Source organism: Homo sapiens, chromosome 14 (genome assembly GCF_000001405.40).
Source record: "Homo sapiens chromosome 14, GRCh38.p14 Primary Assembly".
Classification (NCBI taxonomy): Eukaryota; Metazoa; Chordata; class Mammalia; order Primates; family Hominidae; genus Homo; species Homo sapiens.
In genome coordinates, this window is record NC_000014.9 from 100,859,829 (window position 1) to 100,874,090 (window position 14,262).

At 54.8% G+C, this 14,262-nt stretch overlaps 1 long non-coding RNA gene and 1 other non-coding gene across 16 annotated transcripts in view, besides 2 other annotated features; both read left to right on the forward strand.

The window, feature by feature from the left end:
* MEG3 (maternally expressed 3) overlaps positions 1 to 1,198 on the forward strand; it is a 34,919-nt gene extending 33,721 nt beyond the window's left edge. For all 15 annotated transcript variants that reach the window (NR_046467.1, NR_046465.2, NR_046472.1 and 12 more), the window contains one exon: positions 863 to 1,198. This is a non-coding gene — a long non-coding RNA (maternally expressed 3). The remainder of the gene's footprint in view (positions 1 to 862) is intronic.
* Positions 7,711 to 7,880: an enhancer, noted in NCBI's record as "experimental_33583 CRE fragment used in MPRA reporter constructs". NCBI's record gives its function as "activates a minimal promoter by MPRAs in K562 erythroleukemia cells, with activity observed for the introgressed 14:101333961 variant allele {active_cell/tissue: K562}" and the evidence as "EXISTENCE:reporter gene assay evidence [ECO:0000049][PMID:34662402]".
* On the forward strand, positions 9,232 to 9,320 carry MIR493 (microRNA 493). The gene has a single exon (NR_030172.1). It is a non-coding gene; the product is annotated as a microRNA 493 (primary transcript).
* Positions 13,844 to 14,013: an enhancer, noted in NCBI's record as "experimental_33586 CRE fragment used in MPRA reporter constructs". NCBI's record gives its function as "activates a minimal promoter by MPRAs in K562 erythroleukemia cells, with activity observed for the non-introgressed 14:101340094 variant allele {active_cell/tissue: K562}" and the evidence as "EXISTENCE:reporter gene assay evidence [ECO:0000049][PMID:34662402]".

The window sequence follows — 14,262 nt, forward strand, 5'->3', positions numbered from 1 at the left end:
GCTGTGACCCCTGAGAATTCTCGCTGCATGCCGTGGGCTGGCTCGTGAGACTCAAGGTCTGGGTTCGAGGCCCCCGCAACCCCTTCTGACTGTGTGGCCTGGGCGAGTTTGTTGTTTGTAACCTGGAAAGCGTCACACCTGCCTGGCACGGTTATTGTGGGCTTCAATGAGATTGTTTGTGTGAAATAAACGCTTTGTGACTGGCACACAGGCGCTCTCATCCCGGCTCTCCTGGTGGGCCCGGACCGCTGGGTGCTGGCTGCGGAGGCCCTGTGCTCCCTGGAACTGTCTGCGCTGGTCCCAGGGACTCTTGGGCAGAGTGGAGGGCAAGGGGGAAAGCACCAGCCTGCTCTGGGGAGACAGTGGCAGAGGGAAGTGTTTGCTTTTAAATACACTCAGCAGGTTCAGACAGGAGAGGATCCGAGGGGAAATGTTTAGAGCCCTCAGGAGGAGGAAGAGACCGAGTTTTAGGAAAAACATCAAAGCTGGATAGGTTGGGCAGAAGAGCTGGGGATAGCATTTAGAGAGGCTGAGAGTCCTGGGTTCTGGGTTATCAAGGTGAGAGAAACCAGAGGTTGCCAGTTGTAGGTGGGCGTCAGGACTAGAGTGATGCTTCCAGAAGTTTCTGCAAGTGGGCCGAGTCTAAGGTAGGGCAGGGTACGCCAGAAGTTGAGGGGCACTAGGTAGACAGGCCGAGCTGGTGGCTGGGTGCTCCCCTCACCCTCCATGCTGCTAGGAGCCCGTGAGCAGGGACTTGCTCTCCTCTCCCTCCCTCCTGGGGCCTGCCTGTCTGTCTGTGAACTCTTGTCGGCCAGCGAGGCCGGGAGCAGGTGGCCTTCATCTGCAACTGTGTCTCTCTCAGCCTCCACAGCCACGGGGACACCCTGCACCTATTCCCACGGGACAGGCTGGACCCAGAGACTCTGGACCCGGGGCCTCCCCTTGAGTAGAGACCCGCCCTCTGACTGATGGACGCCGCTGACCTGGGGTCAGACCCGTGGGCTGGACCCCTGCCCACCCCGCAGGAACCCTGAGGCCTAGGGGAGCTGTTGAGCCTTCAGTGTCTGCATGTGGGAAGTGGGCTCCTTCACCTACCTCACAGGGCTGTTGTGAGGGGCGCTGTGATGCGGTTCCAAAGCACAGGGCTTGGCGCACCCCACTGTGCTCTCAATAAATGTGTTTCCTGTCTTAACAAAAACTGATGGATGTGCTACTAATATAAGGAGGGGCGAGTGTTGGGCATCCTGTCTCGCTGGGTAGTGTGATGGGTGGGAGGGCGGGGGCCGACTTGAACCCCACACACCTGCCAGCACCCTACCCTGCCCACTGGGCTCTCAAAGGGGAGGGTGGCTCTTGGAGGTCCGGAGGTTGACACGTGCTTGGATGAACTAACATCTCTCTGGTCCCCTCCTTCTACTGATCGTGGGATGCCAGGCTTCTTTCCAGAAGGGACTGTACAGGAGGAGGTGGTGGTGGAGAGGGGTTCTGAGTTGAGCTCACTGCGTGAGTTCCTGGAGCCCCAGAGAGGAAGCTCCCCTGGGGCTCTGAGTCTTCCTCCTCCTCTTCTCACATTCCCCAGGGCTGGGCTGAGTGGTCATCATGCTTGAACTGATGTTGAGCGATGGCCAAGATGGCCCAGCCAGGCTGTGGCTAAACTCATTCCTCAAAATGGCTCCTGAGCAAGGCTCTGTGTGTAGGCTCCTGAGCAGGGCTGCAAAGGTGGAGCCTCAGACCCATCCCTGCCCGCGGCAGCAATGCCGGCTGAGCTGGGGAGGTGAGCCTTGCACCCCTCAGAGTGGCTTTCTGTGAGCAGCTTGTGGCTGGGCTGAGCGGGGGCACTGAGGGGCAAGGGGCCAAAGGGCACTAGACCCAAGTCAAGACGGATCCTGAGTCTGCACACCTGGCTTTGCTGCAGCGGATCATAAGGACATGCTCCCTATGGGGAAGGAGAGACCGACTGCTTTTGCTGCCACAGCCACCACGGCCATCACAGCTACCACGGCCGCCACTGCCACTGCCACTACCACCACCATCACAACCATGGCCGCCACTGCCACTGCCACCTCCTCCCTCTTCTCCTTGCTCTCCTCCTCCTCCTCTTCTTCCTCCTCTTCCTCCCTCTTTTCCTTCCGTCTCCTCCTCCCTCCTCTTCCTCCTCCTCTTCCTCCTCCTCTTCCTCCCACCTTCTCTTCTTCCTCTTCCTCCTCCTCCTTCTTCCTCCTCTTCCTTCCTCTTCTTCTTTCTCCTTCCTCCTTCTCCCTCCCCCTCTTTCTCCCTCTTCGCCTTCCTTTCCTGCCTTCTTCTCCTCTTCCTTTTCCTCCTTCCTTTTTCCTTTCCTTCTCCCTCCTCCTCCTCTTTCTCCCTCTTCTTCCTTTTTGTCCTCCTCCTTCCTTCCTTTCATTTGTTTCTCCCTCCTCCCCCTCCCCCTCTCTCTTTTTCTTCTCCTTCTTTCTCCTCCTCCTCCTGCTTCTCCTCCTCCTCTCCCTCACAGGGAGGTACCTCAAGAGAACTGCAGGCAAGTCCAGCCGTAAGTGCACAGGACTGAGCATGGCCCCTTTGCTGAGAGAAACAACCGCCTTGGGGATCATGGCCATGACCTGGCAAAGGAGACCTGACCCCAGCCCCTGATGGAGATGGTGACATGGATGGCGCTGAGTCAGCAGTGAGAAGAGGAGGAGATGGCCTTCAGAGTGCACCCCACCTAGATGAGTCAGTCTGTGCTCAGCCAAGACCAGGCTGAGAGTCCAGGAGAGTCCTGTGTGGTGAGCAGAGTATCAGCCTTTGATGAAGCTCAGGTGTCCAGAGCAAGCCACCCACTGATGTTCCAGAGCCAAGACCCCAGCTCCAGCCTCTGTTGAACCTTGGGCATTCAGAATGAGCCACCCAACTTTTGACGTCCCAGAGCTAAGACTCAGTTCCAGCCTCCAATGAAACCCAGATGTTCAGAAAGAGGGACCTCCTTGATGTTCTAGAGCCAGGACTCCAGATCTAGCATCAGGTGATGCTCAGAGGTCTAGAAAGAGGAACCTGCTTAATGTTCTAGAGCCAAGACTCCAGATCCAGCATCTGATGCTCAGATATTCAGAAACAGGGACCTCCTTGATATTCTAGAGCCGGGACTCCAGATCCAGTGTCTGATGCTCAGATATCCAGAAAGAGGGACCTCCTTGATTTTCTAGAGCCAGGACTCCAGATCCAGCATCCGATGATGCTGAGATGTCCAGAAAGAGAGACCTTGATGTTCTAGAGCCAGGATTCCAGATCCAGTGTCTGAAGAAGCTCAGAGGTCCAGAAAGAGGGACCTCCTTGATGTTCTAGAGCCAGGACTCCAGTTCCAGCCTCCAGTGAAGCTCAGATGTCCAGAAAGAGGGACTACCTTGATGTTTTAGAGCCAGGACTCCAGCTCCAGCCTCCGATAAAGCTCGGATGTTCAGAATGAAGGACGTCCTTGATGTTCTAGAGCCAAGACCCAGCTGTAGCACTTAACAAAGCTCAAGTGTCCAGAAAGAAGTGCCTCTTTGATGTTCCAAAGCCAAGATAACACCTCTATCATTTGATAAAGATCAAGTGTACAGGAAGAGGGACCTCCTTGATGTCCCTCTTCAGCCAGGACTTCAGCTCTAGCTTTCGAAGAAGCGCAGATGTCCAGAAAGAGGGACCTCTTTGATGTTCTAGGGCTGGGACCCAGTTCCAACATCTGACAAAGCCCAGATTTCCAGAAAGAGGGGTCTCCTTGATGTTCCAGAGCTGAGGGACCTCCGTGATGTTCCAAAGCTAGGACTTTAGCTTTAGTTTTTGATGAAGCTCAGATGTGCAGAAAGAGGGACTTCCTTGATGTTCTAGGGCTGGGACTCAGCTCCAACCTCTGACAAAGCTCAGATGTCCAAAAAGAAGAGTTTCCTTGATGTTCTCGAACCCGGACTCTAGCCCTAGCCTCTAATGAAGCTCAGATGTCCAGAAAGAAGGACTTTCTTGAAATTCTAGAGCCAGAACTCCAGCTCCAGCCTCTGATGAAGCTCAGATATTCAGAAAGGGGGACTTCCTTTATGTTCCAGAGCCAAGACCCAGCTCCAACCTCTGACAAAGCCCAGATGTCCAGAAAGAGGGACCCCCTTGATGTTCTAGAGCTGGAACCCAGATCTAGCCTCTGAGGAAACCCAGGTGTCCAGAACTGGTGAGAAAACCTCAAGCCTCTGGGCTTTCCTGGGCAGGGATAGGTGTGGCCAAGTTTGTCTTGAGACTGGAGAGGGCAGACAACACTCTTCTGTGCAATGGTGGCCTGCAACATTTCTCAATAGTGACACTGGCATAAAGAGGGGTCCCAGTTGCAGGAGAGATGTGGAGAGGGGACTCCTTGTGGGAGGAAGCGTATTAGGAAGAACATGGCAGCAGAAATCATGGATTGCAGATGGGATGCCTTCGATGAAGCTTGCCTGAGGGCGTGTAACACCGCAGCAAAGCGCTGTTTTATGCCTTTTAGTTTTGCTGGACTCATGGCTGGCCACACATCAGCCTTGACCCACAGGGCTGCCAAATTGGCTGGACCCCGGAATGTAACCCAAGCTAGTTTCTGCGGCTTAGCTCCTCTCCCAGTGGAAGGTGCTAAACCCCCACTTGCCAGCCCAGTGTAAAGCTGCAACCTTGGGGCGAGTCAGATCTGGTTGCCTCCTTCTAGCAATGGAAGTTCATCTAGGTTAGGACTGGGGCAGGGCCAGGCTATCGCAATGGGTGTGAAGACAGCATGAACGGCAAAGGAGGCCCCCAAATACGTGGGGATATGGATGCTAATGTCTCAGGTGAAGCTGCATTTGGGGCTGCAGCCCTGCCCTGAGCACCTTGACTCTACCACTTGCCCTCCAGGAGCTCCATTGACACCAGACTGTCCATTAAGCTGGAGAGAGATGGCAAGTAAAGAAATAGGCCAGGAATACTGACTTGCTCAGAAGCCATAAGAGCATTACAGGTAGATAGAATCCAAGGGACGAAAAATGTAGACTTGGGGAGGAGAGAGCGCTGAATGCTATTTGGGATGTTTGAGCTCTGCAATATCCAGAATGGGAGAGAATCTTATCTCACCAGTTTTGCCATTCAGACACAGCTATGAGAATGGATCCTAGAGGACGACTTACTTCATTCAGCTGGAGTCTGGAGGAAAAGGGAGCAGCTAACAAGCATTCTTGAAAAACACGCCCTAATGATGCCACATCATTCTGGTGATATTTCCTAGAAACTCATTAGAACTTGGAACTGTGCAAACAAGAACTTCTTTGATGAGTAACTGGAACTCGAGAGTTGGGATTGCATGAAGGAGAAATGTCATCTTAGAGGACTGCCTCCCCGCTCCCCACCCTCATTTGGCCAAGTTATTTTAGGAAATTTCCAAGAACAAGCAATTAGAATCACTCATTGCTGATTTCCTAGAAGTCTCCACAACAGATTCTGAAGCCAAATGCAAAATGGGTGAGCCCAGCTTGTGAGGCCTGTGAAGAAAATGTGAATCCTACTCTATAAAGTCGTTGGCCTCAGGGAGCAAGACTCAGAAGTAGAGCTGCGTTAGGGAAAATGAGGACAGAACAGAAGGTCTAGATGGCCAGGCAGAGCCCCGTGGCAAAGACGAGCCTTGAGATGACTGTGGGCCCTCCCCTGCCGGCAGCCACAGCCTGTCTCAGACTCACTCCTCAGAGCCTGTTTCTCCATCACTCCCTTTGTCCTTCTGCCCATCAGAGGGATGTTCTCCAGGCTTCTGTGTTGCTATCTGGCTTCCGTGGGCCATGGCTTGAGCCAGGCTGTGGGCTCTGGGTGACTGTCCCTGAGGTATGGTGAGCTTCCTGAGTGGTGGCCACTTGGCAAAGTGAGTCCATCGCAGGGAAGTGGGCAATTACCGGGGAGAGGAAAATCATGGCTTTCTTGCTTCCCAAGAGGGGCTGAACTGGGCTCCCAATTTCCCTGACACTCCCAGCTCAGCTTGTAGAGGAATCAGGGAATGGAGATGCCTTGGGCTGCAATTTTCTTTGAGATGACTGTAATTTTCCCCTCTTATCCTCACCGGTAGCTGCTGTGGGACAGAGGCAGGCGGGGCTCTGAAAGCTTTTCCTCAAGCTCCCCTTCAGTGCAGAGCTGTTTTCACGTGCCCACCAGCCAGCAGGAGGTTATGCTTCTGATTGTGACCCCCTACTTCTCAGAAGACACTTCGGACTCCGCCCCCGCCTCCATACCCAACAATGCCGTGCGGCATTTCGTGTGACTGGAATGGAAATCCAACCTGGCCCTCGAGGGCAGTGAAGCCAGTCCGAATCGCAGCAGATGATGCCCTCTGCAGAGGCCGGGCTCATGAACGGCCTGGGTGGGTGGAGGTGGGTTGACAGGATGGGGTGGGCAGGGCAGGGGAGTGCAGGACAGTGACCAGCTGGTCCAGAGAGTCCTGCCAAATTCAATCCAGATATTACTGGATTAATCAGCAAAGGAGGGGGAGCCCCGCCCCCACCCCATGGAGACACTGATGAGCACCATGGGATAGCTGTGGCTTCCCAGGCAGCCCACGGACCTACAGCTGCCTATCAGCAGCCAGGGCCTTCTGGGCAGAGCGCCTCGGACCCCCAATTGCCCTGGGAGGGTGGGTTTTTGGTGTCAGCTTAGTTCAGCTCAGCTGGCTTTTATAGAGCATGCACTGGCTGGCTCACTGGGGTGATGCTGTCGTGGGGTAGATGAGCAGCAAGGCAGATTCGCAGGGTTGGGTGCAGGCAGCACTCCATGGGGGCATGCACGGGGCCCTTGCTTTTCAAGCAGAGGTGGACTGAAGGCTGGGCTTGCAAGGGGGTGGGCTGGGGTGGGCGCTGGTAGGGTGTTCTGAAACATTACCTATATACCTGCACTTTACAAAGCACTTTATATGTTTGCCTGGTGTTGGCTGATGGTGGAAGGAGTGATTGGAGATGCCTGTCTGTGGCCTGGGTGCTGGTTAGTACCCCCATGTCAGAGGTACTGACCCTGGGCTCAGAGCGGGTAGAGGCTCTCCCAGGGATTCTCGAGTGTCTACAGGGGGACTGGGATTCCCTTCCTGGGACCAGGAGGCGGGGCTCTTCCTGAGATGCTATGGCTGGAGGCCCTCCTCCCCCAGAATCACAGGGCCATATGCTAGGAGGAAAGACCCTGTAAACTCCAGACCTGACCTCCTGGGACCTGGGGTTAGTCACCCAGGTGGGGATCTGCCTCTCTTGCCCTTCATTTAGAATTGGCTGTGAGCCTCTAAGGGCCAGCCCTTAGCCAAAAGCCTCCATGCAGCCCGGTGCTCCTGCAGAAGTGCTGCCTCCGGAGGGTTTCTGCAACTTGGGACTCCTGGCAGTGGGGCTAGTGTCCTCCATTCACCCCTGCTCCTGCACAGTCCCCAGCCCTAGGTGTGCACCCTCTAGTGTGGGGCGAATGGGCTCCTATGCCCATTAGCTCTGGGTTAGGCTCAGATGTATGTGCCGGGCTCCTGTTATGGGAGGGCTCAGAGCACAGGGGCCCCTGGCCTGGGAGCGGGTAGCTGTGTGCATGTGTGTGGGTGTGTGTGCCTCCATGAGCCTGTGTGTGCCTTCGTGAGCCTATGAGTGTGTGAGCATGCCCGGTGTGCACGTGTGTGGGTGCGTGTGCCTGCCAGTGCATGCGTATGCAGCTCTATGCTTGTGTGTATGTGCATGCGTGGGAGACAGATGGTGGAGAGCGACTGGGAGTGGGCGACAGTGGATCTGTCCCTGAGCCTACAGCACCCTGGGTGCCGATGCCACATCCACATCCTGCCCCCAGACCTGCTTCCCGGAGTCACCCATGCCTATATCCCCTGTGGCTTTGCCCATCAGTCCGTCTTTGTGTCCAGGTCTGCCTCAGTGGACAGAAGAGTGAGAGTCTTGGCCCTTGAACCCCTCCTCTTCTCCATCCTTCTCCACCTCCCCCCCTGCCTCTTCTTGGCAAAGCAGCTGGAGTGAGACCTGGGCTGAGGCCAAGGTTGGGGGTACTGTGCTCCCATGAGCTGCAGACACCGTCCTCTCACCGGCTCTCCCTCCTGTGTCCTGGAGTGGAACCCACCCCCGTTGCCCACCCCTTAACCCCTGCCCCCTTGTCTGGGGTTCTGGCCATCCCCCCCACCCCCACCCCCTAGTCTCCAGCTTCCAAGGCAGCTCCCAAGACAATGGGTTGAGCAAGGGGCAGGCTGGGTCCTGTGCCTAGCCCCTCAGCTCCCCCAGCCACTGCATGGGGCTTCTGCTGCTCTGTGGCACTGGCTGGGGAACCTCAGGACCAGATGGGGCCTCCCAGGCCTCGGCTACTGCATCACGCTCTGGACAGGGCCTTGGGCCCGGACGACGCCTGTGCCCGCCATGCCCTCTGGCCAGATGCTGCACCCTCCACCCAGCCTCCAGGTGAGTTCTCGTCATACCCACGGTGCCCCACCCTCCTTGGCATCCAGGTGATGCATCTACCTGAGGTTCCGAATCCAGGGGGGAAATGTTTGCCTTTGCACTGCATATTTACACACTGATTTGAATTGAGGGGTTCCCAAAATGACATCAGGCTTTTTCTGAAAAAGTCTGTTTTGCCCGATTGGTTTGCCAGTGAGGTTCAGAGTGGACAAATCAAAATGAGCTGATTCCAGACCTCTGAGGTTTTGACAAGTGCTCCATACCTAGCATTTGTCACATCTATATGCTATAGTATATGCCAGAGGCCACCTCATTGCAACTTTGTAAACTTCCTATTAACTTTTACGGCCCATTTAAAAATGGGCTATGGGAGGGGGAGATCCGTGGCTTTCCAAAATCCCTTCATGGGGTCTGTAAGCAGAAATGTCTGCTGCCCCCTGTTCCAGGGCACGTCCCACTCCTCACTGGCAGGGCTCTCGGGCTCACTGATTATTCTCTGAGGATCACACAGGGTCGATTTTCTGTGAATGCAAGTGCGTGGGGTGGGTGGTGGGGCGTCGAGCTGAACGCTGGTCTGGACAGGAAAGGCTCCTGCTTCATGTCCCACCTTGACCCTCAGAGGTTTCCAGGCCCAGCTCTTGGGCCCTGGCTTCCTCCTCTCCCTCTCGTCTTTGGGGGGGGTCCATCTCATGCATGTCTGTTACCATGGACTCCATCATCACGGCTCCCATCACCTCCATCTGGCCTCTGTCATCCTGGGCACAGCATCTCATCTCTGGCCATTCCAGCCTCCATCACCCGCCTCACCTCCATCATCCTCGCTTCGGGGCTCATTCTGGCCTCCAGGGCTTTGTACATGGTAGGCTTTCATTCATTCGTTTGCACATTCGGTGAAGGTCTACTGTGTGCCAGGCCCTGTGCCAGGCATCGTGTAGATGGACGTTGCCCTTGTGAGTGCACGCCTCGGGGAGACGCACGCCAGCCGGTGGATGGCAGGAGAGCCTGGGCCAGGGCTGGGGGTGGGGGCGTGGGTGTGGGCATGAGTGCAGAGGAGGGTGAGCTGGTTTCCAGAAGGGCGGGATCAGCTGGGGTGGTGGGCAGGGGGAGGAAGTGCGGGCTCAGCTGAGGTCCTGCTGTGTGGAGCCTGGAGGGAGAGATTGCATGTCCCCTCTCTATTCCCCATGGGTCATCTCAGTAATGGCTGCCGGAGTTCAGGGGTCCCTAGATTGCTCCCAAGGTCCTCACTCCCAAGTCCTTGGCAAGATTCCTGCGCCCCAGGAGCCTTTTGGCACCTGAACTCTGCCACCTAGTCTGCTGGTCAGCCTCTGTGCTGCCCGCGTTGGTGGGTGTCATTGGATTGTTAACGATGTACGTTTTGCTCTAAAATGATGGTGATTGAAGATGGGAATTATTTTGTCAGTTGATTTTAATGTTTTCTTTTTTGTGTGTGAAGTGTTTGTTGTGAAATATCTATTTTGGAAGTTTTTAGGTGTTGGAAAGCCAGAATCTGGGGCCCTCTGGTGTCTAGGAAGAACCTGTGATGCCCTGGGGTGAAGGGATGTGGACTCCCAGGGACAAAACAGTGGACTCTGAGGTCCTCAGGGTCACCTCCCTTTAGGGACTAGAGCACACTCAGTATTCGGGGGCCTCTGTGGTCTTTAAAGATGTCCCATGTTTGCTAAGGAAATGTTACTTTTGCTGGAGGAACTTCTGAAAAATGTTTAGAATTGTTTACCTGCATGTTTTATCTCGTTCAGAATTAGAATTGGTGGCATGTAGATATGCTTCTGGGTCTACCGAGATGAGGCAGGCCTACTGGGTCTCCACCTTCAGCTCAGGACACCCATCATTCACCTGGGAGGGGCTTGCTTCATTAGATGTTCACAAGGCTGAAAAGTGTCCCAGCCTCAAGTGTCACGTGGAGCCTCTTCCACATGCATCGCCAGAAGCGCCTCCTCCCCCATCACTCTGACCCCGCCCCACACAGACGTGTCACACTAGGCTCCTCCTCGAGTCATGTGTCACCGGTGGATGGCAGGAGAGCCTGGGCCAGGGCTGGGGGTGGGGGCGTGGGTGTGGGCATGAGTGCAGAGGAGGGTGAGCTGGTTTCCAGAAGGGCGGGATCAGCTGGGGTGGTGGGCAGGGGGAGGAAGTGCGGGCTCAGCTGAGGTCCTGCTGTGTGGAGCCTGGAGGGAGAGATTGCATGTCCCCTCTCTATTCCCCATGGGTCATCTCAGTAATGGCTGCCGGAGTTCAGGGGTCCCTAGATTGCTCCCAAGGTCCTCACTCCCAAGTCCTTGGCAAGATTCCTGCGCCCCAGGAGCCTTTTGGCACCTGAACTCTGCCACCTAGTCTGCTGGTCAGCCTCTGTGCTGCCCGCGTTGGTGGGTGTCATTGGATTGTTAACGATGTACGTTTTGCTCTAAAATGATGGTGATTGAAGATGGGAATTATTTTGTCAGTTGATTTTAATGTTTTCTTTTTTGTGTGTGAAGTGTTTGTTGTGAAATATCTATTTTGGAAGTTTTTAGGTGTTGGAAAGCCAGAATCTGGGGCCCTCTGGTGTCTAGGAAGAACCTGTGATGCCCTGGGGTGAAGGGATGTGGACTCCCAGGGACAAAACAGTGGACTCTGAGGTCCTCAGGGTCACCTCCCTTTAAGGACTAGAGCACACTCAGTATTCGGGGGCCTCTGTGGTCTTTAAAGATGTCCCATGTTTGCTAAGGAAATGTTACTTTTGCTGGAGAAACTTCTGAAAAATGTTTAGAATTGTTTACCTGCATGTTTTATCTCGTTCAGAATTAGAATTGGTGGCATGTAGATATGCTTCTGGGTCTACCGAGATGAGGCAGGCCTACTGGGTCTCCACCTTCAGCTCAGGACACCCATCATTCACCTGGGAGGGGCTTGCTTCATTAGATGTTCACAAGGCTGAAAAGTGTCCCAGCCTCAAGTGTCACGTGGAGCCTCTTCCACATGCATCGCCAGAAGCGCCTCCTCCCCCATCACTCTGACCCCGCCCCACACAGACGTGTCACACTAGGCTCCTCCTCGAGTCATGTGTCACATGAGACACCCCCGTGTGTCACTTCCAGCCCTGACTACTCAGTGTCACTTGGAGCCTTTTGTCCCTCCCCAATGTACCACTTGAACCGTCCCCAATCCATGTGACACACCAAATCTCTGTGTCCCACTGAGTTCCATCTGCACTCGTGTCACACAGTTCCACCCTCATGTGCCACACTGAGTCACTCCTACATCATGTGTCACAGAGAGGTCCTGTCGCCTCCCTTGAGTCATCCTGAGAACCTCCTTTCTCCGCTTTGTCCCATGGAACCCTCTTTCACCCAGGGTTCCTCCTCAGCACCTCATCCACCCGTGTGTCCCACGGAGCTCTCTTCCTCCACCTGGGGTTCATCCTGAGCTCCTCCTCCTCCTATGTGTCATCCTCAGAGCTCCTCCTCCCTCGTGAGTGTCCCATGGGGCTCCTCCTCCCCCCATGTGTCATCCTCAGACACTCCTTCACCTGTGTGCCCCATGGAACCCCCTTCTTATCTCATGTGCCATATTGAGCGCCTTCTCCATCCTTGTGTCCCATGGAGCTCCTCCTCCTGCCATGTGTCATCCTCAGCTCCTCCTCCTTCCTGTGTGTCCCATGGAGCCCCCGCCTCTTCCCATGTGTCATCCTCAGCTTCCTATCCCTTCCGTGTGTCCCATGGAGTCCCTCCTCTTCCCACGTGTCATTTTCAGCACCTCCTTCCTCCAGGGTGTCCCATGGAGCCCCTCCTCTTCCTATGTGTCATACTCAGCACCTCCTTCCACCTCCTGTTCCATGGAGCCATTTCTCCTTCCATGTGTCATCCTCAGCTCCTCCTCCCTCCCAGGTGTCCCATGGAGCCCCTCCTCCTCCATCCTTGTGTCATGTTCGACACCTCCTCCACTCATATGTCACATGGAGCCTCCACCCATGTGACACAAATAATTTCTCATCTACTTGTATCACACTGAATGTTCTATCTTTCTTAAGGGTGTCACAGCAAGCCCCACTAATGTGTCACAGGACGCCCCTCTCCCACTCTTGTAGCACACTGAGCTCCTTCCACCACTTAGGTGTCACTCTGACCCTGTCCTCTGCGTGTGTGTCACTAGGAGCCCCACCCATTCAGCTGCACTCTAAGTTCCTCCTCTAATCATGTGTCACACATGTAGTCTCTCCCCACACTCATAAGTCATACAGAATGCCTCTCCCCATCCATGTATCACATTGAGTTTCTCTTCAACATGTGTTACTCAGAGCCCTTCCCTGACTCATGTGTCACCTGGAGCCCCTGTCCCTGTCCATGTGTTACACCGAGTTCTTTCCTGCTCATATGTCACATGAAGCTCCTCCTCTACTCACAAGGCACACAGCACCCCCTGCCCGTTTGTCGAATGGACCCCTCACCTCATGCATGTATAACACTGAGCCGCTCTCCCACCCCGTGTCGTACTGAGCTCCTCCTCCACTGATGTATTGCATGGACTCCTTCTGACACGCGGAGCCCTCCCTGCACCCTTGTGTCTCACTGGGCATCTCTTCCCAACCTTGTGTCCCGTGAGATCTTCCCCCACCCACGTGTCACATCAAGTCCTCTTTCTTGTGTTACTCCAAGTCCCTGCCCCCATATGTCACAGAGAGACTCTTCCCACCCACGTGTCACACCAAGTCGCCTTTCTTGTGTTACTCCAAGTCCCTTCCCCCCATATGTCACACAGAGACTCTCTTCCCACACACGTCACACTGAGCCCCTTTTCTGTCTCACATTCCACCTCTCCTTCACTCATGTGTCATGAGGAGCCTTTTCCCTACTAATGTGTCACCTGAGCTTCTCTCACATGTCACTTGAAGTCCTCCCCTTCCCATGCATCACCCAGAGACCTTCCCCCCACTCATGCATTGCCCTGAGCCCCTCCCTTACTTATGTGACATGGAGCCCCTCTCCACACCCATGTGTCACACCAACCCTCTCTCCACTGATGTGTCACACCAACCCCCTCTCCACCCATGCGTCACATGGAGCTCTTCCCCCACCCGTGTGTCACACCAGCCCCCTCCTCCACCCATGTGTCACACTAACCCCCCCCACCCATGTGTCACACCAGCCCCCTCCTCCACCCATGGGTCACACCAACCCCCTCCTCCACCCATGTGTCCCATGGAGCTCTTCCCCCACCCGTGTGTCACACCAGCCCCCTCCTCCACCCATGTGTTACAGGGAGCCCCTCCTCCCTCCATGTGTCTGTCAATCTGAGCCCCTTTTCCATTCATGTGTCACTCTGAGCCTCTTTCCCACCTCCATACCCTCCTGCCACCCCTACTTCTTAATCTTTAACCCCTTTCCCTAAAGGTTTCCCTCCATGGGCTCTTTCAGAGAATGTTATATTATCAGGTCATTTACTCACAGATATTTTTGCACCACCTACCACGTGCCTGGCTGCGTGTCCCTGTGCATGTGTGTTGGTGGTGTGGATGGCTGGAGAGTGTAGGACGAGGCAGGCAGTATGGTGGTTGAGAAAGATGTCAAAGAACAAAGGAAGGTGTTTTGGGGTACAACTTTATTGAGATGTAATCCACATACACACAATCCGCCCATTAAAGCTCACAGCGAAGTGTGTTTTAGTTATTCACAGATATCTGCAACTATCACCATAATCAATTTAAGATCATTTTCATCACCCCCAAAAGAACTCCAGAGCCTTCAGCTGTCACCTTCACCCTCCATGCACACCCCCCAGCCCTCAGCAACCAAAAATCTACTTTCTGTCTCTGGGAAATTCTTGAAGTGCCCCTGGACTTCATGAGTCCTCACTGGGTCCCCAGAGGTGC